Consider the following 27,661-nt stretch of genomic DNA (forward strand, 5'->3'; position numbering starts at 1 on the left):
CACTTTCTATCCCCACTGAATCTTGTCTTCGTGCAGAGCCTCAATGAAGGTGAAAGAAACCACCATTTATTGAGGACCTACTATGTGCTAGGCACTGTACAGATCATTTATTGACATTATTTGCCCTTCCAACCTCAACAGAGAAGTGTGAGAACGCAATTAGCTAGTAGGGGAAAAAAAACAACTCAAAAGGTCAGAATTATGCAATGTATTTATGGACTGAAATTTTTGCTATATTAACCTATTTTTCCTTTCTAGTATTTCCCTCCTCCTCTTTCTCCCATTGAAACAGAGAGTTGCCCTGTGCTCCTGAGCTCAAGGTAGATGTGAGACAGAATTTCCTGGTGTTTTGTTTCCAAAAGTATAAAAACATTAATAATACCATTTGAAAATGGAAGGTGAGGAGGGAAGGATTTTATTCACACTTAAAAAAAGGATTTTATTCACACTCAGGATGAGGAGGAGCGGCTAGGGATGAGTGAGGAGAGCAGAGAGCTCTCTTTTGTCATCAGAGCTGCAAGGGAAGTGCTTTCCAGTGCGTGTCCAGGGAGGGAACAACGACAGCCGGGCAGAGGGTCTGTGTTCAAAGGTGGCACAGAAAGGGAATGAGAGAAGCATTGCACAGATGCTTTGCAGACAAGAGCAAGCATCATCTTGGGGCTGATCTGTGTGAAGCCCTGGCTGAAAATGGAAGGACGCTTTTCCATTACCAAATGTACCCTCTACCTCTTCTCACCTCCCAACCTTGATGCAGGCCCTGGGAAGAGAAGGGGATCTGCGGTGCACTAGTGATCTGGGTCTCCAAAAACCAAAACTCAACATTGCTGATTGGTAGCGCAGCTCCCACCGTGGCAGATTTCAGGATACCAACGTGAGCTCTCTGCAGAACTGGGAAGGGAGCATGCAATCTGCTCCTGTGAACCATACGAGCCAGCTCTGCCACACCACTGAAATCCTCCTGAAACCCCCGCGGAAAAGACTAGAATTATTATTTCTTATCAGCAAAATAGAAATGAAGTTGAAATTAAAAAAAAAAACATACACAAATCTATGTTTCTTGTCCACCTAATTTAGGGACAGGGGTGGTATGTTTCTTAATTATAAACATAAGGAAAGTGGCTGACCTGACACTTGAACCCATGGCTGTCTGAATCTAAAGCCTTGCCAGCTTTCTGACTGACTCTTCTCTGGGCTGAATTCCTGGGGAGTGCTTGGTTCATGCTACTGTCTGGGTCTGTTCCCATTCCTCACTCTTGCCCTTCCAGGGTCTTAGGAGAAGAATATCTTTGGCTGTGAGAGGGTGGTGGCCAGGGGCATGCCTCTTTTTCAACCATCCTTCTTGCTCTAGTCCACATTTCCTAGGAAATCACTGGGTAAAGGGTTTATGTTTTACTTTTGGATTCTGGACATGACCTAATTGTGGACATTAGGTAAGTGAGAGCTGGATAGGGAGGTGAAGGGGAAGGAATCTGTTGATCATCATCTTGGCTCTGTGGCTCAGCTGTCAATGCCCTTAGAAGTCAGGAAGTGGCGCTCACCTCTCCCGCTCACTGTGGTGGGTAATTTAGTCACCAGAGAAAGGGCTAATATGTGGCATTCATGCCACCACTTCTCTTTTCTGGGCTTATGGCTGACATCACCAAGTTATCACAACATGAAGAGGCCCCATAAGCCTCAATGCTGCACTCCAGGAAGCTACAACCAAACCCAAAGAAGGTGGCTGGGCCAGGTGGTCAGCCCAAGCATGCTTCTCAGCTCCAAACTCACCCTTCCATACCCGCTTTGTGATATTGGGGCTGTGACTCTGCCCACCAGGGGGAGCTAGAGGAAAGCAACCAGGCAGGAGGAGGAGGAGGAGGGGGAGGAGGGGGAGGAGGAGGGGGAGGGGGAGGGGGAGGAAGAGGAGGGGGAGGAGGAGGAGGGGGAGGAGGAGGAAGAGGAGGAGCGGCATCCCTCCTTCCTATCTGCTTGTGGTTTCTGTGCACATCACCCAGGCAATGCTTGTCCTTCCAGACAACAGCAGTTTCTTCTTGTGGTAAAAGCTGAGCCAGTTTGTAGTTTTTCAAAAATTTGTGACACCACCCTCCTTGTGCCCCTCAAAGACAGTGGCACCAGCCTGCCAGCCTCTTCCTCAGAGGTCTGAATTTTGCCTTTTCCAACCTTCCATGTTTCAATACTTCCCTTTGGGCTCTGGCTGTGTGGGTGGAGCTGCTTTCCATAGTTGCCATCTCCATGATACCCTAGAGTTCCATTTATGCCGTTTTGGATACCTAGCTAACAATTCCTCATGTTCAAGGCTGACTATTAAAATCGCTGGTGTGATTTCTGTCCCCTGACTGGACCCTGACTACCATTGTGCAAACGAGGGAAAACCCATTTGCCATCCCTGGACCAGGCCATTATGGTGGTGTTCGTGACAGAAGCTTCTGCTACATAAAAGCCAAGACTCTTGTAGGGCCTGAAGACAGCACAAATCTAGCTCTACAAGCACAGTGAGGCAAGAGATGCACAAAGGTCCCTGAACAATGTAACCCTCTTGGTTCCACTCCTCTAGGAAAATTCTGTTTCGTATCACTCAGGATGGGGTGTCCAGGTAGCAGCCTGCCCCCAGAGTGCACCAATTATATCCCAAGCTTTAGGGCTGGGATGGAGGGAACCTGAGAAATCGGCCTCCTTACCATCGAAGATGAACCAAGGCCCAAAAAGAGGAAGGGCTTGACTCAGGTAACACAGCAAGTGAGTGTCAGGGTGGGATCAGACCCCAGGTCTCCCGAACCTCTGGGTCTTCCTGGGTCATGGACTGTTTCTCAACTCTTCCAACTTATGAAACATGCTAGGGATGGCTGTTGTTGTGCCAAATGGTTTCTCTACTACATCCAATAAAATAAAGACATTTCTTTTCCAGAAATGCTTAAAAATAGTTAAAACAATTCTTCTGTTGTTGTTTGTTTTGTTTTGTTTTCTGAGATGGGGGGGTCTGTCTGTGTTGCCCAGGCTGATCTCAAACTCCTGGGCTCAAGCCATCCTCCCGCCTTGGCCTCCTAAGGTGTTGAGATTACAGGCATGTGCCATCGTATCCTGCAACACAGTTGTTCTTTATGTTTCAAAATACCTAATCACTAAGTGTAAAGGACTTCCAATTCTAAATTTAAAATATGAAATAAATATACCAATGTCATATAAAAGAGCACTCATATACCTAGGTGTAACTACCGGTAAGATTGTGAATCAGTTTCTTAACCTCTGTTTCCTGCAAAATGGCAGTTATAATATTTCCCTTTCCAGGTAAATATTGGGGTAAAGTGTTTTCTTAATAGATGGTAGCAGTTGTTGATGAATGACTAATGTTTGTCTCAAATATAATATATATACTTCTTTTTCTCATTGGTCTTTTTGGCTCTGAAACAAAATCTTTTTTTTTCCCCAGTAGCACTAATCCTTGCATAAAGCCCAAGCTCATTAAATGTTAGAGATTATTAAGTGGTCAGTATCAGCATGTCACGTTTTCCTTTAATTCCCACCCAAACAGTGGGTTGAGGCTATTTCTTTGTGGGAATTGAGGACTCTTCTCCCATCACCTCTTTCTAACCCTGGAAGAAGTCTCTTCTGTAACTGAGCAAGGCCTGATGACCCATTGATGGGGTCACCGAGTATGGGGCCTTCTGGGCTTGGCCTCCAGGAGAAAGGACCCCCTAAGGCCGTCACCCAGCCCCACTGATTCACACCCAGTGATTTACCGAGCACTGGGGCCGCTGACACCTTTTATGCCTCTTCTTCTAGACCAAAGAGACAAAGCTAGGGAAGACGTGGCGGGGAACCCATCCCTGGGTCACCTCTGCAGAACTCTCCCATCATTGATGGTGTCCCTTTGCCCTGGAAAACAAAACCTAGGCCCCTTGACTTTGGGTTACCAGCACTTTGGCACCACCTTTGAAGCAATCATCTGAATTTACGACACAGGCATGAAAGCCTGTTTAAGGCTCTGCCGTCTTCCCCGGCCGCTGAACTTCATGTGGTCCAGAGTAAATCACCGTAATAGCCATTGGGCCAGCATTGTTGCGGGATGTTTTATACCCGCGCTGTCAGTTATTTGGGGTGGTTAAACTGAATTGCTGAGTCTCAAGTTACAGTTGTTGCTTTCTCTTGCCTTGTGCATAATTATGGAGAGACATAACAGCCAAAGGTAGGTTCAACAACTAGATTCATAAAGGAGAGAGGGGGAGAAAAGCAACCTGCTTTCTAACCCATGAAGGGATTTCTTTTCTCCCTTACTCCTGGGACAATGAAGCCACTTTCTCCTGGGAGGAGGGGTGGTACCGATTGCCAAGTGGTCACTAGACTCACTGCCCTGATGAATGTACTGCGTGTCCTGGAGCCCTCAGGTAGCCACGAACTGAGCCTTCCTGGCTCTGGGTCCTTGGTGGGCAGAGGTGGGCCAGTTGATGCTGCAGTCAGGAAAAAAAGGGCTTTACCCGGCTGGGCGCGGTGGCTCATACCTGTAATCCCAACACTTTGGGAGGCCAAGGTGGGTGGATCACCTGAGGTCAGGAGTTCGAGACCAGCCTGGCCAATATGGTGAAACCCCATCTCTACTAAAAATGCAAAAAAAAATTAGCCAGGTGTGGTGGCGGGCACCTGTAATCCCAGCTACTCGGGAGGCTGAGGCAGGAGAATCACTTGAACCCAGGAAGCGGAGGTTGCAGTGAGCCGAGATCACACCATTGCACTCCAGCCTGGGGGACAAGAGCGAGACTTCATCTCAAAAGAATAAAAAAAAAAAGATAAAAAGGCTTTACCCTCTTCTCCACCCACATCTGTACCTGGCATGTGTTTCCATCATGGGTGCCTTGTATGGTGTGTGGATAGCTGTTTGCACTTCTGCATCCATGGAAGGCCTATAAAGGCACATACTTCACTGAGCCCTTCCTTGAGGCAGTCCTGGAGCCCAGGTGCTGGAATAGTAAGTCCCCAGGACACGTTATTTATGGGTGTGTAAGCTTTTCCTCCTGCCCCATCTGTAACTCTTGGGTCAGGAAGATGCAGTTGATGGCTCACTTTTTTTTTTTGGCTGTGGGTGGGGAGGTCTCTGCTTGTTCACCTCCTGCTGGGGTGGAGAAGGGCGGGTCAGAAGAGGAGGCAGATGTGCAAATGCAGCCTCTTCCCAGCCTGGGTGGCCCCATCCCCTCTGCATGCTCCCCGAAGCCCTGACCTGGTACCTCTTCCTTCTTAAGGATTTCTGCCCTTCATGTATTTCTGGCTTAGTAACTACTTTGTTATTACAATTACAATGCAATAAGCACTAATGCATTCTCCTGGTTAAAAGGAGACAAAGGAAGTTGAGTGAAGTCTCCTTCCCTCCTCAGACCCCATGTTTCTGTTCCTCGCCTTCCAGAAGAAGCCATCATTATTGATTTCTGGTTTTGGATGTCCATCTGTGCATTTAATTTTTTTGTTTTGAGATGGGGGTCTTGCTCTGTCACCCAGGCTGGAGTGCAGTGGCACAATCTTGGGCCACTGCAACCTCTGCCTCCCAGGTTCAAACAATTCTTCTGCCTCAGCCTCCTGTGTAGCTGGGACTACAGGCGTGCGCCACCACACCTAGCTAATTTTTGTATTTTTAGTAGAGATGAGGTTTCACCATGTTGGCCAGGCTGGTCTCAAATTCTTGACCTCAAATGATCTACCCACCTTGGTCTCCCAAAATGCTGGGATTACAGGCATGAGGCACTGTGCCAGGCCTGCATTTACTTTTATTTCTATGAAAATATTGGGGATGATGCTGGGCATGGTGGCTCACGCCTATAATCCCAGCACTTTGGGAGGCTGAGGTGGGCAGATCACGAGGTCAGGAGTTCAAGACCAGCCTGGCCAACATAGTGAAACCTCATCTCTACTAAAAATACAAAAATTAGCCGGGTGTGGTGGCATGCACCTATAGTCTGAGCTACTCGGGAGGCTGAAGCAGGAGAATCGCTCAAACCTGGGAGGTGGAGGTTGCAGTGAGCCGAGACCACGCCATTGCACTCCAGACTGGGTGACAGAGTGAGACTCCATCTTGAAAAGAAAAAAAAAAAAAAAAAGAAAATATTGGGGATGAAAGGGGAGGAAGCAGAATTGTAATTTGCCTCTTGTACCTGGCTGTAGAAGGACAAGGGCAAGGCTGGAGAAATCAGTCAGCTCTGTGTCTGAGAGCAGAAAGCTGCTGGCATGAGGGCCTTGAGAGGGTGGGCAGGTCTTTCTGAAGAGAGAGGAGGGGGCAATGTAACCCTGGTAACAGTGCATGATTCTCCCAGAAGCCCTGAGGGGTCTGTGGTTCCAGAGTCGAAAGATTGGATCTACTCTCAAGTCTACTAGGAGACACGTGCAGAGAGTTCAAATTCATGGTGACCTCCAGGTGCAATAATGATGGGGTACAGAGGGAGCGGAGGGAGAGACGAGAGTAACTTAGTTGTGATGGTTGGTGAGGAAAGGCTTCCTGAAAGGTCATGTCTGAGCTGGGGTTTGGAGGATCCATAGGGGTGGACTGGGTTGATGGGAGGGCTGTGAGGGAACCCATGTGTGCAAAGGTTTGGCAGTGGGGAATTGTAGGCAGATTGGCGTCATAGAGCCTGAAGCATGTGTGTGTGTGTGTGTGTGTGTGTGTGTGTGTGCGCACAGTGTATGTGTGTAGGGGTGAGGTTGGAGATGAAGCTTGAGAGGCAGGCAAGGTTGGACTATGAAAGGAGCTGCTCTGACTGATGGTCGGGGACACAGTGTGCTTCCTTCACTCATTACTCATTCCACAATGATGTGTGGAGCAGCAGCGCATGTCAGGCATAGCACTAGATGCCTGGGAGACGACGGAAAGCAAGGCAGCAGTGTCCTGCTGGACTGACATTCAAAGGGTATATGTTATGGGGGATGCAGGGGACAGGCAGAAACTGCAGAAACTCCACAAACACAGACAAATCGTCAGTGTTCCAAGGAAGAGCATAGTGGGGGAGCCCAGGGAAGCCTGCTTTGAGGAGGCGATTGTTCAGCAGAGGATGAGAAGGATCTAGGTCCTGAAGAGCAGGGAAGACACATCCAGGTGGAGGGAGCAATGGGTGGGTCAGGTGTTTGAATGAAAAGGGAGGTGGGGAGCCACTGTGTTCCCAGGTGAGCATAGAGGTGCCCAAGCCAATGATGAGCAATCCTGGTGGGATCAGAGGGGACCAGTTTAGGATTGTATTCAAGGAAGCAGAATGCCAGGCTGCCAGGCAAGAGGCATTTGGGGGCAGGTGAGGCTGCAGATAGGAAGACAGGCTTGGTGGCATCACAGGATCCAAGTGCCAGAGCTCAGGACCTGGGACAGGGTCAGGGCTCCACTGCTCACTATCTAGTCCATCATCAAGTCAGCCTCACATCTCCTCCTAATAGCTCACGGACCTGTCTGTTCTTCTCCATCCCCAGTTCCCGCTGACATCCTGGATCAGGCCACCATCCTGCCTAGATCCAACGCCTCCTGACTGGTCTCCATGGCTCCATTCTTAACCCCATGTGATGTAGTCTGCAGATTGCAGCCAGAACGGTTTTGAAATGGAAAAACAATCATATCACTCCCCTATTCAACATCCTTTGGGTGTTCCCCATTGGAACAGGGAGACCTGGGAGATTGTGTTAAGGCCTCAGACTCCTTAATAATCTGGCCTTGCTGGGCTCAACATCATCACCCCTCAGAACTCCCCACGCCGTCCACCTTCCCTCACTCCTTTTCCAGTCAGAATGAGCTCTTTTGAATTCCCTGAGCTGGTCTAGAGCTGCCTCCAGGCCCCTCTGTGTACTCTTCCCTCTTTCTGGAATTCTCTTCTTCACCCCCTCAGCTGTCTCATTTCTGCTCACCTGCCAGGTTTCTCTGTTCAGGAAGACCTCTCTGGCCACATGGGGGGCAGATGTCCCCATGGCAGGCCACGCCTACCAACACCCTAGCTCTTAGCGTACTGCCTTGAAACTGCCTGACTTCTTGTCTGTTTCGTGTACTGGACTCTAAGAAGAAGGGGCAAACTGTGTCCTTTGCACTTAGCACAGTCTCTGGCATCCAGCTGGTCCAATAGGTCTTTATTGTTGAATGACCACAGTCTGAGAGGTGAGAAGGAAGAGCAGGAGCAAGAGCAGGGCCGGGGACGGAGGGGTTGAAGGTGATATCATGAGGAAGGATGATGGCCAGGGGACAGCAGTAATGACCATGGTGAATATTCATTTGTCCTTCCTCTGTGCGAGGACCAATGTAAGTGTTTTACATGTATTAGTCCATGAATCCTTCTGAAAACAATATGAGGTAGACAAGGTTAGTATGCCTGTTTTCCAGATGAGGAAACTGAGGCACAGCAAGCTTAACGAATTTACCCAGAGTCATATAACTAGTAAGAGAGAGGCTGAGAGTCAAGCCTGGGTAGTTTGGTGCCTACACTGTACGTACATCATGAAAATACACTCATCCCTCATGAAAATATATTTAATTTGGGCACTTCAAACTTAAAGTGACAGTGATCCATTCTCTCAATAGCTTGCACTGGCCACACAGGGGTGTGAACAGTTCAACTGGTTCCAACTGGACAGGTTAAAATATTCCTCTAGAATTGGAATCCCAGAGGTGTTACTTTGGCCAATATGTGAGTTCTAAGCTGGCCCCAAACTCCAACCCAGTGACATGCTCCAGTGAATGGCTGTGAAGCTATTGCCTCATGCTGGGGGTCTCCTCGCAGTGACTTCCTAAATAGGGAAGATTGTGAGTAACAGTGGATTTTGTTGACAAAATGACTATGCCAGCTGTGAAACTTACATCCTGCTTGGCAATATAATAACTGGCCATATCTTAAGTTACTATTAAACATTTACATCTGATGTAATGTAGAGATGGTGAAACCCTGTCTCTACTAAAAATACAAAAATCAGCTGCATGTGGTGGCACGTGCCTGTAGTCCTAGCTACTTGGGAGGCTGAGGTGGGAGAATCGCTTGAACCTGGAAGGCGGAGGTTGCAGTGAGCCCCAAACTCTTGTAAACTTGGGGGCACATGTGATATAGGTAGCTTTTTGAGGGACAAAGACGAATCATTTGATTATTCGACAAATATTGATGGAGCATCTGCTCTATACTGGGCAGAGGGCCAGGTGCTGGGCTTACAGTGATGAATAAGACAATGTGGTCCCTTGTGGAACATATATTATAGTGAGGAACACAGATGAGAAATAAATGAGTAAAAAGCAACTACTTTTGTGATTAATGTTTGCAGGTAACACATGAGGGGCTGCGTTAGCTAATAATGAGGTAGTGATGGTGGGTTTCAGGCTGTTCCACATGCCGACCACTTTTAGTGCTAGGGCCTTGGGGGTTTCACTAAAAAGAGGGTGGAGGCTGGGTACGGTTGCTCAAGCCTGTAATCCCAGCACTTTGGGAGGCTGAGGTGGGAGGATCACTTGAGTCCAGAAGTTTGAGACCAGCCTGGTCAGTATAGTGAGATGCCATCTCTATAAAAAATAAAAAATTAGCTGTGTGTGGTGGCACGTGCCTGTAGTCCCAGCTACTCAGGAGGCTAAGGTGGCAGGATCACTTGAACCCAAGAGTTCAAGGTTACAGTGAGCTATGATTACACCACTGCCCTCCGGCCTGGGTGATGGAGCGAGACCCTGTCTTTAAAAACAAAAAACGGTGGAGAAATTTAATGCAGTGTCAGATCACAGGAGTCATTTGAAGTATGACACCTCTTTAATACACCTGAAGTTCTCTTGAAAATAAGCAACAGGAAGCAGTGTGAATCCCTCTTGAATGCTCTGGTGAGCAGCCCTTCACAACCTCCACTCAGAAGCTGATGGGCTGTGTCTCCAGGACAAGAGACTAGAGGTGGGCCTTTTAGGTCCCTCAGACTTTGCCGATGGGATTGTAAATTGGTACAACCTTTCTGCAAAAGTTTTGCAGTACGTATAAAGAGTATTAAGTGGGGTAATCCATTCTAACCCCAGCAATCCCCCTCCAGAAATTAATACTGAAGAAGTACTCAGAATTGAAGACAACAGATTTCTGATAAAGTGTTCATTCCAGGGTTGTTTAAATTAGACATGATAGAAGAATATATAGTACTTATGGTGCGTTTACATGATGAATTACGGTACAGTCATTTTTTATGAATATTGAATGCTGGGAAATGTTCACTATATAAGTTAAGTGATAAAGCAAAGCATGAAAGTATAACAAAAACTGAAGAATGGTAGAAATCTTTTTTTTTTTTTCTTTTAAACAGAGTCTTGCTCTGTTGCCCAGGCCGGAGTGCAACGGTATGATCTTGGCTCACTGCAACCTCCATCTCCTGGGTTCAAGTGATCCTCCTGCCTCAGCCTTCCAAGTAGTTGGGACTACAGGTACATGCCACCATGCCTGGCTAATTTTGTATTTTTAGTACAGACGGGGTTTCACCATGTTGGTCAGGCTGGTCTCGAATTCCTGACCTCAAGTAATCCACCTGCCTGAGCCTCCTAAAGTGCTGGGATTACAAGCATGAGCCACAACGCCCAGCCAGGAGTCTATTTTTAACAAGCATAGAGATATACGTGTGCAAAAGAGATTGTGAAATGTTATCAGTGGTTATCTCTGAAAGGAGGAAGTCAGGTGATTTTTTTCATCTTTAAACTTTCTGTGGTTTTCTAAATTCTCTTCAATAATCATGTCCTATTTATAAACAAAGGAAGAAATTTAAAAGTCTACCTTTACTTTAAGTAACAAATAAAAGTGTGTTCCAAGGTGAAACTGCTTCTGCTAGTTCCTGAACCTAAGGGGTTGTCAAGTCTTGGAAAATAGGGAAGAAGAAAAGTAAATCTTCTTTAGGAAAAATCCTGCAGTTTCCTTACCCCCACAAAGGCTGTGCTGTTCATGCCTTCTCTGCTGCTACCTTAACACATCTTCTGGCAATAGTGAAAATGAGTCTGGCACATGAAGAGCCAAGGAAGGAGTATTCCCCCGGGGTTCGTTGGCAAGTTCATGATAGCCTAGGTGTAAGACACAAAGGAACTAAAAAAGCAAGGGCTAACATTTATTGAGTGCTAGCTCTGTGCCAGTCATGATGCTAAGTACCACAAGTACCACTGCCCCCTCCACCACCAAACACACACCCCTGTTCTTTCTTAATGTATTTAACCCTCACTGTGACCTTATGAAGTTGGTACTGTTGCTATTCTCATTTTAAAGATGGGAACACTGAAGCCTTGTATTAGGTCGCTCTTGCATTGCTATAAAGAAATACCCAAGACTGGGTAATTTATAAAGAAAAGAGGTTTAATGGGCTCATGGCCCTGCAGGCTTTACAGGAAGCATGGTGCTGACATCTGCTTGGCTTCTCGTGAAGCCTCAGAGAGCTCTCAATCGTGGCAGAAGGTGAAGGGGGAATAGTCATGTCATATGGCAAGAGCAGGAGCGAGAGAGAGAGTGGGGGCAGATGGCATACACTTTTAAATGACCAGATCTCATGTGAACTCAGAGCAAAAGCTCACTATCACCAAGGGGATGGCCCAAGCCATTCATGAGGGATTTCCCCCATCATCCAAACACCTCCCACCAGGCCCCACTTCCAACATTGGGGATTACAATACAACATGAGATTTGGTGGGGACACACATTCAAACTACATCAGGCCTAGAAGGGTGGCATGCCGTGATCACACACACCTAGTAAATGGTATTGCCAGAACTTGAATCCAGGACGCAGCTATGCTGGGGAGTGGAAAAGTCAATGAATAGGAAGGAGAGAAGGACAAATGATGGGAGAAACCAACATGGATATGAGTGGGAGGCCAGTAAGCGCTGGGTCCTCTGCAGTCTGGAGAGCACAGCAGACTGGGATGCCAAGAAGCAATCTGGAGGGGGGAAAGATGGCTGCCTTCATTTAAGAGGGCCCCAACAGTTCCAGCACAGTCTCTTAGGAGGGCCACCCCTATGACCTGGACAAAGGTTTCTTCCCTGTCAGAGCAGCAATAAAAAGATTAACAAAGAAATTGTTTGTGACTGATTATGAATGCTGGTATTTGAGAAAGTTTTTCTTAAAGGTTAAGAAAGAGGCACAGAGTTCTGAAGAGAACTTCTGGGCACCTTCCAGGACCCCCCAGGTTGATAGCAATGCTTTTCATTCTAACTTCACTTTGAACATATGGCTTTTCTGTTCTGTGACACAGACAGGCGAACTCCTGGAGCTAGCCTGATGTTCATCAGCTTCTGTTGAGGTTGTTTTTGCGACCTAGATGGAGAGTGAAGTTGGAGGCAGGTAAGAGGAAGAGTTTTCAGAGGTTTGTGAGCAAAAGAAAAGAAAGAAAATAGTCAGAGGTTTCATATGAAAGACAAATCCTGGTTCTGGTTATAGAAGGGGAAGTGGTGGCAGGAAAAAAGGGAGAACACAGCCTGGGTGGGGAGCCTCTCCAGGAGAAAGAAGTGAAGGGAGGACCAGTTCTTCATATCTGTCACCAGGGGGCAGCACTGGCACAATACAGCTTGGTTGTGCCTTGTATTCCAGTTCCAACAATTGGTAGGTTGCTTAGGGATGCAGAATTCCTGAATAACTAACACGTTATAAAATTAGTACACCTTTGAATAGCTCTGTTTCCTTCCACCTGACTTAACATCGACATTTTTCCAAGCTAACAACACATCAAAAAAATCATGCAAGAATACAGGATTTCATGAAACATTCTAAAGGGTGATGTTGGAAAAGTCCTATGGTTTCTGAAAAAGCTATTGAAAATGTGGATATCACTAAATTAGTCCACTACCAATTGAAGAAAAGAATGGCAGCAGGATGCTTCAAAACAGAATGACTTGAATAGGAAAGGCTTCAGGAAATGGGTGATATCTTGTAATATTTTTGTGAAAATGACTATTTTTATGATCATGCTATAGAATAAAACCTGAAGTGAAGGTATTGCTATTGTACTGTCATGTAATGTTGGCAGAAAATTGCACCAAAACCCCTGAAACTAATTCATTTATTGCTTGTTCTAAGAATTAGAGCACATTTACCATTATTTTCCAAATTTGGTCATATAAGATGAGATAAACTTATTTAGCTTTATTTAAAAAATTATTTTTATTAGTTTTTGTCATTTATTATGTTACCATTTACTAAAATTTTTAAGTTTTGTTTAAAGAGGTTTCACTTTGAGTATGAGGATGGAAAAAAATCAATGAATAGGGAGGAGAGGAGGACAGTTATTACAGGTAAAACAGCACTCCACAATCTTAGTTATTATTTTTATTAAAGTGTAATTTTGTGTTTTTGAGACAAGGTCTGGCTCTATCACCCAGGCTGGAGTTCAGTGGTGCTATTTCAGCTCACTGCGACCTCCACCTCCTGAGTGCAAGTGATTTTCATGCTTCACCCTCCCAAGTAGCTGGGACTACATGCATGCACCACCATACCTGGCTAGTTTTTGTATTTTTTTTAGAGACAAGGTTTTGCCATGTTGCTCAGGCTGGTCTTGAACTCCTGAGCTCATGTGATCCACCTGCCTGGGCCTCCCAAAGCACTGGGATTACATGCGAGAGCCACTGCGCCTGGCCTAAAGTGTAATTTTTCTGGCACCAATTTTACTTGGATATGAGGGCAGTATGTTTAACATTTGATCTTAACAATAACAGTTACCCTTTATTGCATACAATTTACCAGACACACTTTGCGTATATGACTTCATTTGATTCTCACAACCTCTCTAGGAGACAAGTAGTATTTTTAGTACCATTGCAGTGAAGGAAACTGAAGATAAATAGTAACCTTTAAGGGAGGAGACTACCCCTCATATTGTCTTATGCCCAGTTTCTGCCTCCAAAGAAAGAAGAAGTAAAAATTAAAGGCAGAAATGAAATCCACAGGCAGTCAGCCCGGCGCCGCACCCTGGGCCTAGTTAAAGATCAACCCCTGACCTAACCGGTTATGTTATCTATAGATTCCAGACATTGTATGGAAAAGCATTGTGAAAATCCCTGTCCTGTTCTGTTCTGTTCTGTTCTGATTACCGGTGCATGCAGCCCCCAGTCACGTATCCCCTGCTTGCTCAATCGATCATGACCCTCTCACGCGGACCCCCTTAGAGTTGCAAGCCCTTAAAAGGGACAGGAATTACTCACTCGGGGAGCTCCATTTTTGGAGACCTGAGTCTTGCTGAAGCTCCCGGCCGAATAAAGCCCTTCCTTCTTTAACTTGGTGTCTGAGGGATTTTGTCTGCGGCTTGTCCAGCTACGCCTTGATCCTTACAGCTGGTAAATGGAAGAGCCAAGATGGGAATCCAAGTCTGGCTCCAAAGAAAGGGTCTTCCGGCCAGGTGCGATGGCTCCCAGCACTTTGGGAGGCCGAGGCAGGTGGATCACCTGAGGTCAGGAGTTTGAGACCAGCCTGACCAACATGGAGAAAACCCATCTCTACTAAAAATACAAAATCAGCTGGGCATGGTGGTGCATACCTGTAATCCCAGCTACTCAGGAGGCTGAGTCAGGAGAATCACTTGAACCCGGGAGGCGGAGGTTGCAGTGAGCCGAGATCGTGCCATTGCACCCCAGCCTGGGCAACAAGAGCGTAACTCTGTCTCAAAAAAAAAAAAGAAAAGAAAAGAAAAGAAAAAAGGGGCCTTCCTTCTTTTCCTTTCTCTCCTTTCCTTGCCTCCCTTTATTCCTTCTAAATTTTTATTATAGAAAATTGCAAGTAGCAAAGTAGTACAATGAATTTCCATATAGACTCTCTCCAACTTCAACAAGGATCAACTTTAGGTCAATCTTTCAACTCTGCTTCCCACCTCCCTTTTCACCCCCAGGTTATTTGCACAAAATTTGCAAGATCACATCATTTCAGCCATCAGCCCTTAATATTTCAGTGTGTATTTCTAAAAGATGAAGACTCTTTTATTCTAAACACAACCACGATATCACTATTACCCTTAAAACAACGACAATATTATCCAACATCCAGATAGTCTTTGAAACTTCCCTGATTATCTCTAAGTTTAACCTTTGGTTTGACTCAGATCCCATATTGCATATGGTTCATCTATTCCTCAGATCTCTCTTAATCTGCAGATTTATTCTTTTTTTTTTTTTCCCTTGAGATTTGTTGAGGAAGCATGTTTGTCCTGAGCATTTTCTGCAGTCTGGATTTTGATGATTTCATCCCCGGGTCCTGCTTCGCATGCTCCTCTGTGACTTAGTTATTTTCTTACTTTTTTAAACACATTTTTGTTGTGCTCCCATTGTGTTTAAGGTGGTAGCACCTGAGGCTTAGAGCTAAGGAGGGACACAGACACCAAGCAAGGAAACAGATACAAAATTTTATTTGTATTATTTTATATAGTATATAAATATGTATTGCTTATGATATAAATATAACTCTATTTGTCCTCATAATACCATTAAGTAAAAGCTTTTTTTTAAAAAAAATTCACCGGGCGCAGTGGCTGACGCCTGTAATCCCAGCACTTTGGAAGGCCGAGGTGGGTGGATCACCTGAGGTCAAGAGTTTGAGATCAGCCAACATGGTGAAAACCTGTCTCTACTAAAAATACAAAAAATTAGCCGGGTGTGGTAGTGTGCACCTCTAATCCCAGATACTTGGGAGGCTGAGGCAGGAGAATCACTTGAACCTGGGAGGCGGAGGTTGCAGTGAGCCAAGATGGCGCCATTGCACTCCAGCCTAGGCAACAAGAGTGAAACTCCATTTCAAAAAAAAAAAAAAAAAAAATTGTACCAAAGAAGACATTGTGATGTCAAAGAGAACCAGACAGGTTTCAGGTTTTCCCTCTCAAGTCAACTATGTATGACCTTGAGGGAAGGGGTGTCCCTTACTACCTCTGGGCTTTGGAGTCCTCTTCTTAAAATCCTAGGTATTGACTAAATGAGTGTTTTTCCAATCTTCTTTGAGCAATGGAACCTTTACGTCCCCTGCATGAACTCTTGCCCTGAATCCTAATATATAAAACAGCTAACAGGCGAGCTTCCCTGGGTGAAATAGGGGAGAGCCATTAGGTCCTGCCTGCTCTCACTCTCTGACCCTAACTTTCACGTTCACGTCTCACCCTCTAGGGCAGTCACTGAGACACTTCTCTAGAACCTAGGTCTCCATGGACCAGTCAAAACCACTGGATTAGATAACGTCTGATGTTCTTCTAAGCATCACCAAACCATGAAGGACCTGGGTGAGTAATGCCTCAGTTTCCCCAGTGGGGTTGGAGCTCTATGTACGTTTCTCTGTGTGTGTTAATTTATCTTTCAATGGAGGTATGACATGCCAGAGCTGAAATACTCTATTCCAATCTCCCTTTTTAGACAGCCCTCCTTCAGTTGCAAGTGACAGAACCCAATTCAAACTTGTTTGTGCATAACAGAGAAGTTATTAGTACATTTAACTAGGAAGTCCCTCCATATAACCGGCTTCTGGCCATGAGTTCAAGCAGTACCATCATGCTGGTCCTTTCCCCTTCTCCATTCCTCCACGGTCTGCACGGCTTTCTTCTCTGGCAGACGTTCCTCATGTCATGGCCAACAACCAGCCCCAGGCTTACATCCCACAGCCCAACAACCTCACTGGAAAGAGAGGGCCTCTTCCTTGGTAGTTCCTATAAAAGTCCTGCACGCCCACCTTCACTGGCCAGGTGTAGATCATGTGCTCATCTCTGAAACAGTTACCATGGCTGGGGGAATTCGGAAACTTAATTGGCCATCTTCAGCTGCCTAAGCCATATGGGGCAGGAGGATTCCTCAAGAAACATTGAGGTGCTGATATCAAAAGAATGGGAAATAGTCTCAAAAGATGAACACTCTACTTAGAGTGACCATATAACTTATCCAGACCAGAATAGTTTAGAGAGTAAAAAGGGGCGCCATTAACCCTTACAGTGGAATGAACACATGTAAACTAGTAAACTGTTCTGGGCAACCTGGAACATGTGGTCATCCTATTTCCCTCAGAGAAGCTAAATGACTTTGCCAAGGTTCTCAAGCTAATGAGTGAGAGAAACGGGTGTAGAACCAATTCCAGTACTTTCTATCAAAAGATCATTGTCAGCCATGAGAAACTTGTTTCTGTAGTAGACTTGTCTCACAGAATAGGGTATGAGAGTAGATTTTATGGAAAAGTCGGAACTTTAATGAAATTAGGCCAAGTGAGGAATCCTTTGTAGGGTCATGTCAGTGACCATCTGTAACAACTTTCCATCATTGACATGTCTGGATTGCCTGTGTTAAAATATTTTGGGTGCACAGATGTATTTACCCCCAAATGGTATGGTATTATCAGTGGTTAAAGAGTGTGGGTTTGAACCCAGCTCTACCACTTAGGAGCTGTGTGACTTTGGGCAAATTACTTAACCATTCTGAATCTGTTTCTTTGTCAGTGTCAGGTCCTGCCCTGTCTGCAGCCGCCCACCTGCCCAGGCGTTTCCCTGCATCCTGCCCTTCTGTGGCCTGGTCAGCTTGTTGCAGTCCTGGCCCTACCTCTAATCAACTGGCGAGTGGTCAGCTTGTGTGTGTGGCCTCAACACTATATTGAAAAGTGTTAGTAAGTAAACCATAGGGATTTTATAGCATCTCTAGGGAATGTTAAACTGCAGGGAGGAAAAACTGTGAAAAGGATAGTCCAAAATGCAATTAAAAAAAAAAATCAAGTCATGCCATTACCAAGTCTCAGTAGCTCACAGTGCTAAAATTCCAAGTCAAAAAGAAAAAAAAAAAACCCAAATATTTTAGTGGATGTCTTTAGCCTCAGACACCTGGTTTGGAAACATACCACCACCTGTGCTGCATTAAACCTGCGAAAAACCCAGGAAGGAAATACAGTGTATGAGGCCAGAAAAGGGTGGGCTCCTGGATCCCTTAGGTCAAACAGCAGGCTGTAAATGACTCTTTTCAAAACAGACACATTACTTCCCAAGATTGCGGCCTGCCACAAAAGAAGGTACACACAGCGGTTGTTCCCAGCAAGGGTTATACTATATGGCTATTAGGGGGAATAGAAGCAGCTTGATTCTCGCCAATGACAGGAAATAAGGTCAAGTAAAGATAACAGGTCTTTGAATTAAAGAGGCTTTAAACACACATCCTGGCCTCATGGCTTTAGCAGCGAGTAAGAATTATGGAATGAAGCCTCGGGTTTTCTTACTCCCTTGAAGCTGGGCTCCTGAAACATACCCTCTCCCGGATTAATGTGAAGGAGTCCTGTGTGGGGAAGGCACCGGCTTCCTCATTCATGTCTTTGGCTTGTTTATGTTCTTTCTAAATAGACCTCGCTGCTGCATTGCTAGTGAGATCTGGGCTGGGATCGTTTCACTAGATAAAAGTCTCACATATAGCACATTTGATGGTCTCGGTGGTAAATACCTTTAGATTTAGAGGTCAAGATTGCACGACTTTTGTCTAGGTAATGGAGAAGGGAGCTCGCAGACCCCAGCCATCATGGATCAGTATATTTCTATTTTGCCTTATTGTTCAAGGACAAGGTATCCAAACAGGCTTGACTTAATTCAATGAGACGGAATATCAGTTCAGTTCAGGGAAAATGTAGAAAACCCCAAACATCAAAAGGTTGTTTGTCATGTGGAGAAACACCTGGTTGTGAGCATGGAATCCCTGCCCTAATGTGTAGACTGCATTTATTAGATACCCACCGAATTCTCCTGCTCTTGGGTAGGGAGGAGGGTGCAGGACGGGAATAGGGAATGGAAGGGGGTGGAAACTTAAGTCAAGCAACCCATTATAACATTAAAAAAACCAATCTGGTTTATTTGGCTAGCCCACTGGCTCTTCTACAAATAATCCACTGGTTGAGCAAACTCAACTTTTCTTTGGATTCTTGTTGGCATTGGTTCTAGTACATGTGACTGTAGATCTGGGTTAACTCTCTTCCCTCATAACAACTAAAGAAAGTGCACACATTTTTCATGCTTTTAAAGCTTTTCTTTTCTGATAATTACATAGAAAAAAGACCTTGATTTTGACAGCTAAGTCTGGTTACAATCCTACTTCATGGGGGTTGTTAGAAGATTAGCCTGAAGTGTGGCACAGAGTGAGAAAATGTTCTGGAGATAATAGCTTTTTTTTTTGTAATTTTTTTTTTTAATTTTTACTTTTTTTTGAGAGTGAGTCTCACTGTCGCTCAGGCTGGAGTGTAGTGGCACAATCTTGGTTCTCTGCAACCTCCCGCCTCCTAGGCTCAAGCAATTCTCCTGCTTCAGCCTCCCAAGAAGCTGAGATTATAAGCACCCACCACCACGCTCAGTTAATTTTTGTATTTTAGTAGAGACCGTGCTGGTCAGGCTGGTCTCAAACTCCTGACCTCAAATGATCCACCTGCCTCGGCCTCCCAAAGTGCTGGGATTACAGGCGTGAGCCACCGCGTCCAGCCAAGAGATAATAGCTTTTCATTGCATGGTCTCTATATCTTGTAGCTCACGTATGCCCTCATCAGCTTCATGGAGAGTCTACAAATTTATAAAATATTAATATTATGTTTATTATGTAGGGAACAGTTTGAAGCCCTGCTGACTTTCCTTGCTGTTGTTTGATTTTAAATAGATCTTTGGTTCCTTGGTTTTTATCTGAATTAAAAGCACAATTCTAGGTTCTTACAGTTCTTCAGTATTTAAAGATTGTTAGTATGTAGAGAATAACTTTTTCTCTTTCCACAAAGCTACCCATGTTCATCGTTTAAAAAAAGTAGATGAATACTTGCAAAAAGAATATAACTGGTAACTCTACCTCTCAAAGATTATCACTGTCCACATTTTGGTGAATTATTATTGCACATGTTTTGTAACTTTTCACCTAATTATATATCAAATGTCTTTTCACATCATTAACTGGCCTTCAATGTCATGTTTAATGGCAACAGAGAATTCTATCCACAGGCACCTCATTTATTTAAGTAATCCTCTATTATGGACATGCAGACTGTTTCCAATTTTTCCACTATCAAATAACATCATTGTTAAATAAACTCCAAATCACCAGATCCCAAGATGTGGTTTCCAGTTTCTGGGTCTTCATGTCATATCTACTCAAACTTGTAGGTTTTTCTGAAAGTTAGAAATTCCCTGCATCTCAAACTAGCACCAAGGATACCCCTTCAAAATGTTGAGATGTGAAATTCCCCTCTTGTTCCCAGCAAGAAGAGGCAAAATTGGGGTCATTTTCATGACAGCCATTACTGTGTATGAGGTTCTCCAGTAAGGCACCTCCCCTTCACATTTTCACCTCATCGCAGGCCATTTCCTCACTGCAGCAGCAACCTCACCTTTCATGGGGATGTCCAAATGTGTCATCCCAATAGACTGTCCCTAAGACAAGGAAAAAGTTCACACACATGTGCTCTGTGCAACACTCTAGTGCCTTCAGACAATGTCTCACTTTCTGTTCTAGGGGAGAATTGACTGGGTGAGGTCTTTTCCTCTTTAACTGGACTTGGACTCATTTGAAAGATGTAGACATGACTTCATGGGCAGGTGAAGACAGGTTATTTTTCCAGAAGTGGGGGCTTCAAAGGGATTGGGAAGTATGAGATGAACTGCCCAATAAAGAGAAATGGCTCAGGAGAACACAGGAGGGGTTCATGGGAAACCCTGGTCAGCTTCCCAAGCCTAGTTATGACCTGCTAATCCTGGGCAAAACTGCCAGGTGAGTAAGGGCTATCTTCTGTGCTTCTCCTTGCCTTCTTGCTGCCGCAAGCACTTAGGAGCATCATGGACTTCGTGGGGACCTAGGGCTCTCACTGAGCCAGCTCTTCAGGCCAACTTTTAGAGTAGCCCCTCAATATTGGTTAGAAATAGGCCAGTCCCCTGTCCTAGAGGAGGAGAATATTTGTCTTTCTTTTGGCACACAGAGGTCTGTAGGGACACAAAAGTCACTGTGGTGATAAGACACCTTCTTGTGGGTGAAGCTGGTATTTGAAGAAGATTTGGGTAAGGACTATCTAGAGGAATCACCAGGAGAGTTGCCAGATAAAATACAAGACAACTAGTTAATTTTTTTTTTGAGATGGAGTCTCATTCCGTCACCAGGCTGGAGTGCAGTGGCACGATCTCGGCTCACTGCAACCTCTGCCTCCCAGGTTCAAGCGATTCTCCTGCCTCAGCCTCCTGAGTAGCTGGGACTACAGGTGCACGCCACCACACCCAGCTAATTTTTGTATTTTTAGTAGAGATGGGGTTTCACCATGTTGGCCAGGATGGTCTCGATCTCTTGACCTTGTGATCCACCCGCCTCAGCTTCCCAAAGTGCTGGGATTACAGGCGTGAGCCACCGCACCTGGCCAATTTTTTTTTTTTTTCTTTTTTTGAGACAGAGTCTTGCTCTGTCACCCAGGCTGGAGCGCAGTGGCATGATCATAGCTTACTGCAACCGCCACCTCCTGGACTCAAGTGATTCTCCCATCTCAGCCTCCCATGTAGCTGGGACTACAGGCAAATGCCACTGCATCCAGCTAATTTTTAAATAATTTTGGTAGATGGAGGTTTGCTATGGTTCCCAGGCCGGGCTCAAAGTCCTGGGCTCAAGTGATCTACCTGTCTTAGCCTCCCAAAGTGCTGGGATTAGTACCTGGCCCACCCAGTTAAATTTAAATGTCAGATAACACTTTTTTTTTTAAGTATAAGTATGTCCCATGCAAACAAAAAACCTTGAGTATACAGTGTCTTATATGTATTATTTCCCCCAATCTTTTGCAACTGTTTGTTTCTCTCATACCAGGAACAAGCCCATCTTACTTTTGAAGAGCGCAGAGCTCACTTATGAGGACAGGATGCACGAGTCTACTCGGGAGAGGCCAGCTAGGCTGAGGTGTTCAGCTCACTGTGATCATTAGATGGCACGACTTGCAGAACTAATGATCGGTGGTCAACCAGTGAGTTTGTTAAGTGGAGCCTATAAAGAGAGTGGCTGTTGTGCCAAGTTCACAGTGCCAGGCACTGGAAGTGGCCAATAAACATTAGTATGATGATGATTATTATTAACTAATCTGTTGTTTGATGCTTAATTTGTTTACAGTTAATTTTATGAATAACACTGTGATCAATATCTTTATAGTTTAATCTTTGGATAAATCCTTGGTGATTTCCTTAGAATATTTTTCTAACATTTAAAAAATTTTTTTAAAAATTTAAAAGTTTTTGTAGATATAGGGTTTTGCTATGTTGCCCAGGCTGGTCTTGAACTCTTATCCTCAAGTGATCCTCCTGCCTTGGCCTCCCAAACTGCTGAGATTATAGGCATGAGCCACTGTGCCTGGAATGAAATTCTTTATTTTAAATGAAATTCTCCTTGAGCTTTTTTTTATCCATATGAGTACTGCAGTTTATGGCCCCAAATCTCTCTATGTGGCCAAATTTGTGTTATAAAGTCTCAGGGAAATTTTACTGAGACTTTATACTGTTTTTGCTATTTTTACCTCTACTATTTTCTTTGCTGTCTGAAATTGCTGGGTGGGTTTTCTTCTAGTTCATCTTTTTCTCAGGGCATACTCTACTTGAATCTTGGCCCTATACAGTGTGGTCTGGCTCTTCACTCCATATGAGATACCTGAAGATCCATAGATGTCCCCGGGTGTGCAGTGGTGGCAATAGTTAATTTAGCTCTGATCTCCTGCTTCAATCCTGGCCTCAAGTGGTGAAGTACTCTTATTTTCTCAGAAGCTTGTTTGCTTATTTAAGGAAGGTTTTTGTCTAACATTTTAAACTTTCCTTGTAGTCACTGAGACATAGGCTAGGATTGGCTGAGCTCAGAGCCTTTCCTCTTAGAACCATTTCCTAGGGAGGGAAACAAATTAGTGAGAATTTGCTACTGGAATGGATCTGAATCCTAATATTGCTCATTGTAGCTATTAGGCTAGCACTGAGCCTGTTTCCTCTTCTGTAGAGTGAGAGTTGCTACTACTGAGTGCTAAGCACTCAAGAGACAGTGTCCTTACCTTTCAGAACACATGCGAAAAAGAGTCAGAAAAGGGGTTTCCACAGTGTCCTAAGTAACAAGAAAAAAATCATCCTTAATCCATATTGCCAATAAGTCCATGTGGATCCATTTTGCTAGGATGGATGGTTTGTTTGTTTGTTTGTTTGTTTTTCTGAGACCGAGTCTTGCTCTATCACCCAGGCTGGAGTGCAGTGGTGTAATCTTGGCTTGCTGCGACCTCCGCCTCCCAGGTTCAAGGGATTCTTGTGCCTCAGCCTCCCGAGTAGCTGGGATTACAGGCGCCCACCACCATGCCCGGCTAGTTTTTGTATTTTAGTAGAGATGGGGTTTTGCCATGTTGGCCAGGCTTGTCTCAACTCCTGACCTCAAGTGATCTGCCTGCCTTGGCCTCCCAAAGTGCTGGGATTACAGGCGTGAGCCACCATGCCAGGCAGATGGATGTTTTTATAGCTTGGCTTACATTGGAAAAGACAGACCAGTAATTTCTGTGAGCCCACCACTCTTCTTCCTCAGAAAAGGAAGCTTGCCAAGTTTTCTCTTTAGCTCTCATTCCTCGAATGGAGGCTGCTGTCCAGTAGATTATCCAGCTATGAGGAGGCCAGAGTCGTTCACATAAGGCTTCACTTAGCTATAAAATCCTAACAATCTTAAAATATCTTAAAGTTGGGGAACTTGCTTTTTCAAAACTCAATCCTGTTTGAGTATATAAGCCACAAGAAATAAACAACAAACAAAACAAACATCTTCCCACCCTGGAAAAAAGCCATAGCTCATTGTTGGATGAACAAATGGATCCAACTCTGCTCTCAAAGACAACTCACACTCACTTTAAAACTGTCAGGAATAATCTTTCATGACTTCAGAGTTAGGTTCCAGACTCCATTCCAACTCCAACCATGGAAGCAGGATTCCTGGACAGGTCAGTTTGAAGTAGCTTGTGCATGCAGTGGCTGGCTAGGAGGGGCGTGGGGGTGCAGTTTGGACACGTGTGGGCAATATGGGAATACGGTAAATATGAATGAGCTGGGGTGACTGGTGCTCTTGCAAAGAACTTGTTGTGCCCCACGTATGGAAGATAGCATCCAAGAAGGACTCCTGCTGAGTTGGAGCCTATGAAATGGCTCTGCCTCACCCTGCCCTACTCTGAGGGTAAGAAAGTTTGCTTACTGAGGAGAGTGAATCGGACACGGATGCTGCAGGCCGTGGGCTTGCCCTGGCTTGCCCGTCTTCCTGGCAAGACAAGCAGTTATTAGAGGCTGGTGATGACTCCCTGTGTCTGGGGACAAGCTGTCTGCATTTCTAGGAGATGGCTCCTTCCTAAGGGGAAAGAAAAGTTGCCAGGCTGTGGAAGGGTCCAATTATTGGCGGCTCTATTTTATAGAATGATTGTCTTTGAGTGAAGTATGTGTTATAAAATCAAACTTGGCATTTTTAATTAACATAAAAGAATCTCAGTCCTTACATGCTATGTACATGTATAAAAAAGGGAAATTCTTTATACACTTCTCAGGAAATGGCTTTCAGAGCCGCCTTGCCGCTCTGAGAATCTCCTTGGACAATGTCCCAAGGGCAATTGCAAACATATTTCATAAGTGGGTTTGTCTAATTCTTTTGTCTGTTGACTAATACCTTTATTCAACTATCTTAAGATTTTTTTTTGTGTGTGTGTGTGTTTGAGACAGGGTCTCACTCTGTTCCCCAGGCTGGAGTGCAGTGGCGCTATCATAGCTCACTGCAGCCTGGAACTCGTGAACTCAAGTGATCCTCCTGCCTCAACCTCTGAAGTAGTTGGGACTACAGATACATGCCACCATGCCTAGGTAATTTTTTGTGTTTTTAGTAGAGATGAGTTCTCACTAGGTTGGTTGCCCAGGCTGGTCTTGAACTCCTGAGCTCAAGTGATCCTCCTGCCTCAGCCTCCCAAAGTGTTGGGATTACAGGCGTGAGTCACCACATCCAGCCTATTTTAAGATTAAAAAAAAATCTAAATACTACTATCAAAGGCAGCAATTTCTGTTAATATCCTTGTAATCAGCTCTGAGGGGTCGAATGGGCTGTGGACATCTTACTAGGGCCAAATACCTGTGGCAGAAGAATTTCGCAAGAGCTTCTGGAATATGGCTTAGCATCACAAGCAGGAAAGCTGGTAACCATATTCCAGGGTCTCAGAGTGGATCTGTGCTCGGTGGCTAATGGTTCAGAGGACCATCCTGACCTTGACCTTTGAGCTAATGCCACTGAACTAGCACTATAACTGCAACAGCAAGCAACTCTGGATCTCGGAAACCCATTTGACTTCTAATCTTAGTTCTGCTATGTATACATTGTGAAATCTAATCAACCTCTCTGAGTCTTATAAAAATGAGGAAATAACCCCTTCCTTACAGGGTTGTGGGAAAGCAATAGAAGGCAATAATGTGTACAGAGTGCCAAATTCAAAATTTGCCAAGTGGACAGTCAAGGATGATACGTGTTCCAGCCACTTCCACCTCTGGAAGTCTACCCCTTTGAAAAAAAAAGCACAGTTAGAAAGGCTTCAAGTTCTGTTTTATTTATTTATTTATTTTTTGCTTTAGGTAGGCACAGAGGACAACTTGATCCTCTTGAAGTAGATGATTCCCAAATGCACATTCTAAACTTTAGACATCTTCCAGGCTTCAGGCTTATGTGGAATATTTACAAATGGTGGTTTTATCACGTTAACATGTGTAAACATAAAACTCATCTCTTTCTTCATCACCCCACCTCAACAAACACACACATCCCAAACAATCAACAAACCTGTTCTTCCTTTCAGGATTCCCTGTTCTGTTAGTGACAACACCATTGTTCAAGATGCCCAGACTCTTTGACTTCCATTCTCACCCAGTCAGCCCCTAAATCCAGCTAAAGTCTTTTTCCTTCTTCTTCCCTCCCCACCCCTGCTCTGGCCTCTTGCCTTCCAGCCTTTCTTCCATTCATGCCATTCCCAGTACCAGCAGTTCAGATGCAATGAGAAATGTCTGTGAACTGTTCAGGTCTTCTCATTCCATTCCAGATTATAAACTCAAAGCCTCCTCTGACTCTGGAATTGGCATGGCCTCTCCCATCCATCCTGCCATTGTTCCCCCCGCCACCTCCATTCAATTGCATTCACAGATTCGTTTATACCACTTTTGGGCTCAGGCTCTATATGGACTATGAGAAAGATTCCTTAGTTCAGTCTGCCCCAACTTTCCATTCTTTTTTTTTTGAGATTGATTTTCACTCTTTTGCCCAGGCTGGATTGCAGTGGCTGATCTCACCTCACTGCAACCTCTGCTTCCCAGATTTAAGCAATTCTCTTCTCTCAGCCTCCTGAGTAGCTGGGATTAGAGGCACCCACGACCATGCCTGGCTAATTTTTGTATTTCTAATAGAGATGGGGTTTCAACATGTTGGCCAGGCTGGTCTCAAACTCCTGAACTCAGGTGATCCACCGGCCTTGGCCTCCCAAAGTGATAGGATTACAGGCATGAGCCACCACACCCAGCCCCAACTCTCCATTCTGACCCAATTTCTCCCTTTCTGCTCCAGCCATATGCACCATTTACTCCAATTGTCATTCCCTTCCCCAGCCACATTCTTTCATCTACTCATCTACTTACCTCATTCGGTCGTTCCCATGTTGCCTAAGAGGCCTTCTAAACTCTTTCTTTATCAGTTGATTGGAACCATGATCCTTTTTGACATTTGAATGCTTCCATCAATCTGCATTTTCTCATTCTATTCTTGGGGCCACCATATTAGAATCAAATGAGACATGATTTCTGAGATGCCCCCAATAACCACTATGCCACCCTAGGAGGTAACACAGATTAGAAGTTAAGGATTTGTTTCTCTTGTGTTAGATGAATCTGGGTCCAAATCCCAGCTCTATCATTTACTAGTTGCATGACCTTGGCAATTTCTCTCGCCTCTCTCCCCCTCTGTTCTCTCATCTATAAAACTGAATAATAATGCCTACTTCACATGGTTGTTATGCACTAAGGGGATAATGCATGGTGAAGCTCTTAGTATAGTGGCTGGCACCCAATAAGTGTTCAATAAATGATTGTGCCTGTCTTTTCATTCTTGCTTTGCATAACTTTCTATGGCTACTAAGTAATGAAGACTGACTGTGATATTTAATTGCTTGTTCTAGGGCTGTGTAACCTTTAAAATGTGAGTGTCAATGGTTAAAAGACTGCAAATGGAAGTCTGAAAAAAGGAAGTAATAGTTGACTGGGTTGTAAGATTTTCAGGGGCAGGGATAATGTTACCTTCATCTTTACATCTTCAGTCCTAGACTGGGAATGTAGTAAACACTCAAAAATATATGTTTCAGTCAAGTAAATGTTGAGTTGCAAAAACTTCATTGCTATGACTTCCAGTCAGTTTTCATCTCTGTCTCCATATTTCTTACAGTTGTCAAAGCAAACTTCCAGAATGCTGGGATTTACTCATTCCCTGCCATTAAAAAAAGAATGTATGGGCCGGGTGCGGTGGCTCACGCCTGTAATCCCAGCACTTTGGGAGGCCGAGGCAGACGGACCATGAGGTCAGGAGATCGAGACCATCTTGGCTAACACGGTGAAACCCCGTCTCTACTAAAAATACAAAAAATTAGCTGGGCGTGGTGGCGGGCACCTATAGTCCCAGCTACTCGGGAGGCTGAGGCAGGAGAATGGCGTGAAGCTGGGAGGCGGAGCTTGCAGTGAGCCGAGATTG

At 44.8% G+C, this 27,661-nt stretch overlaps 5 annotated features.

Annotated features, from left to right (window-relative positions):
• Positions 1,461-1,530: an enhancer, noted in NCBI's record as "active region_3783". NCBI's record gives its function as "activates an Ori minimal core promoter by ATAC-STARR-seq in GM12878 lymphoblastoid cells {active_cell/tissue: GM12878}" and the evidence as "EXISTENCE:reporter gene assay evidence [ECO:0000049][PMID:35858748]".
• Positions 1,632-1,926: an enhancer, noted in NCBI's record as "tiled region #3565; K562 Activating DNase unmatched - State 12:CtcfO". NCBI's record gives its function as "activates a minimal TATA promoter and a strong SV40 promoter by Sharpr-MPRA in K562 cells {active_cell/tissue: K562}" and the evidence as "EXISTENCE:reporter gene assay evidence [ECO:0000049][PMID:27701403]".
• Positions 9,675-9,744: an enhancer, noted in NCBI's record as "active region_3784". NCBI's record gives its function as "activates an Ori minimal core promoter by ATAC-STARR-seq in GM12878 lymphoblastoid cells {active_cell/tissue: GM12878}" and the evidence as "EXISTENCE:reporter gene assay evidence [ECO:0000049][PMID:35858748]".
• Positions 9,835-9,894: an enhancer, noted in NCBI's record as "active region_3785". NCBI's record gives its function as "activates an Ori minimal core promoter by ATAC-STARR-seq in GM12878 lymphoblastoid cells {active_cell/tissue: GM12878}" and the evidence as "EXISTENCE:reporter gene assay evidence [ECO:0000049][PMID:35858748]".
• Positions 23,697-24,896: an enhancer, noted in NCBI's record as "MED14-independent group 3 enhancer chr10:94897634-94898833 (GRCh37/hg19 assembly coordinates)". NCBI's record gives its function as "activates an origin of replication core promoter dependent on BRD2, BRD4, P300/CBP and CDK7 cofactors, and independent of MED14, by STARR-seq in HCT116 cells {active_cell/tissue: HCT116}" and the evidence as "EXISTENCE:reporter gene assay evidence [ECO:0000049][PMID:35650434]".

The sequence above is a fragment of the Homo sapiens genome, chromosome 10 (assembly GCF_000001405.40).
Source record: "Homo sapiens chromosome 10, GRCh38.p14 Primary Assembly".
NCBI classification, from domain to species: Eukaryota; Metazoa; Chordata; class Mammalia; order Primates; family Hominidae; genus Homo; species Homo sapiens.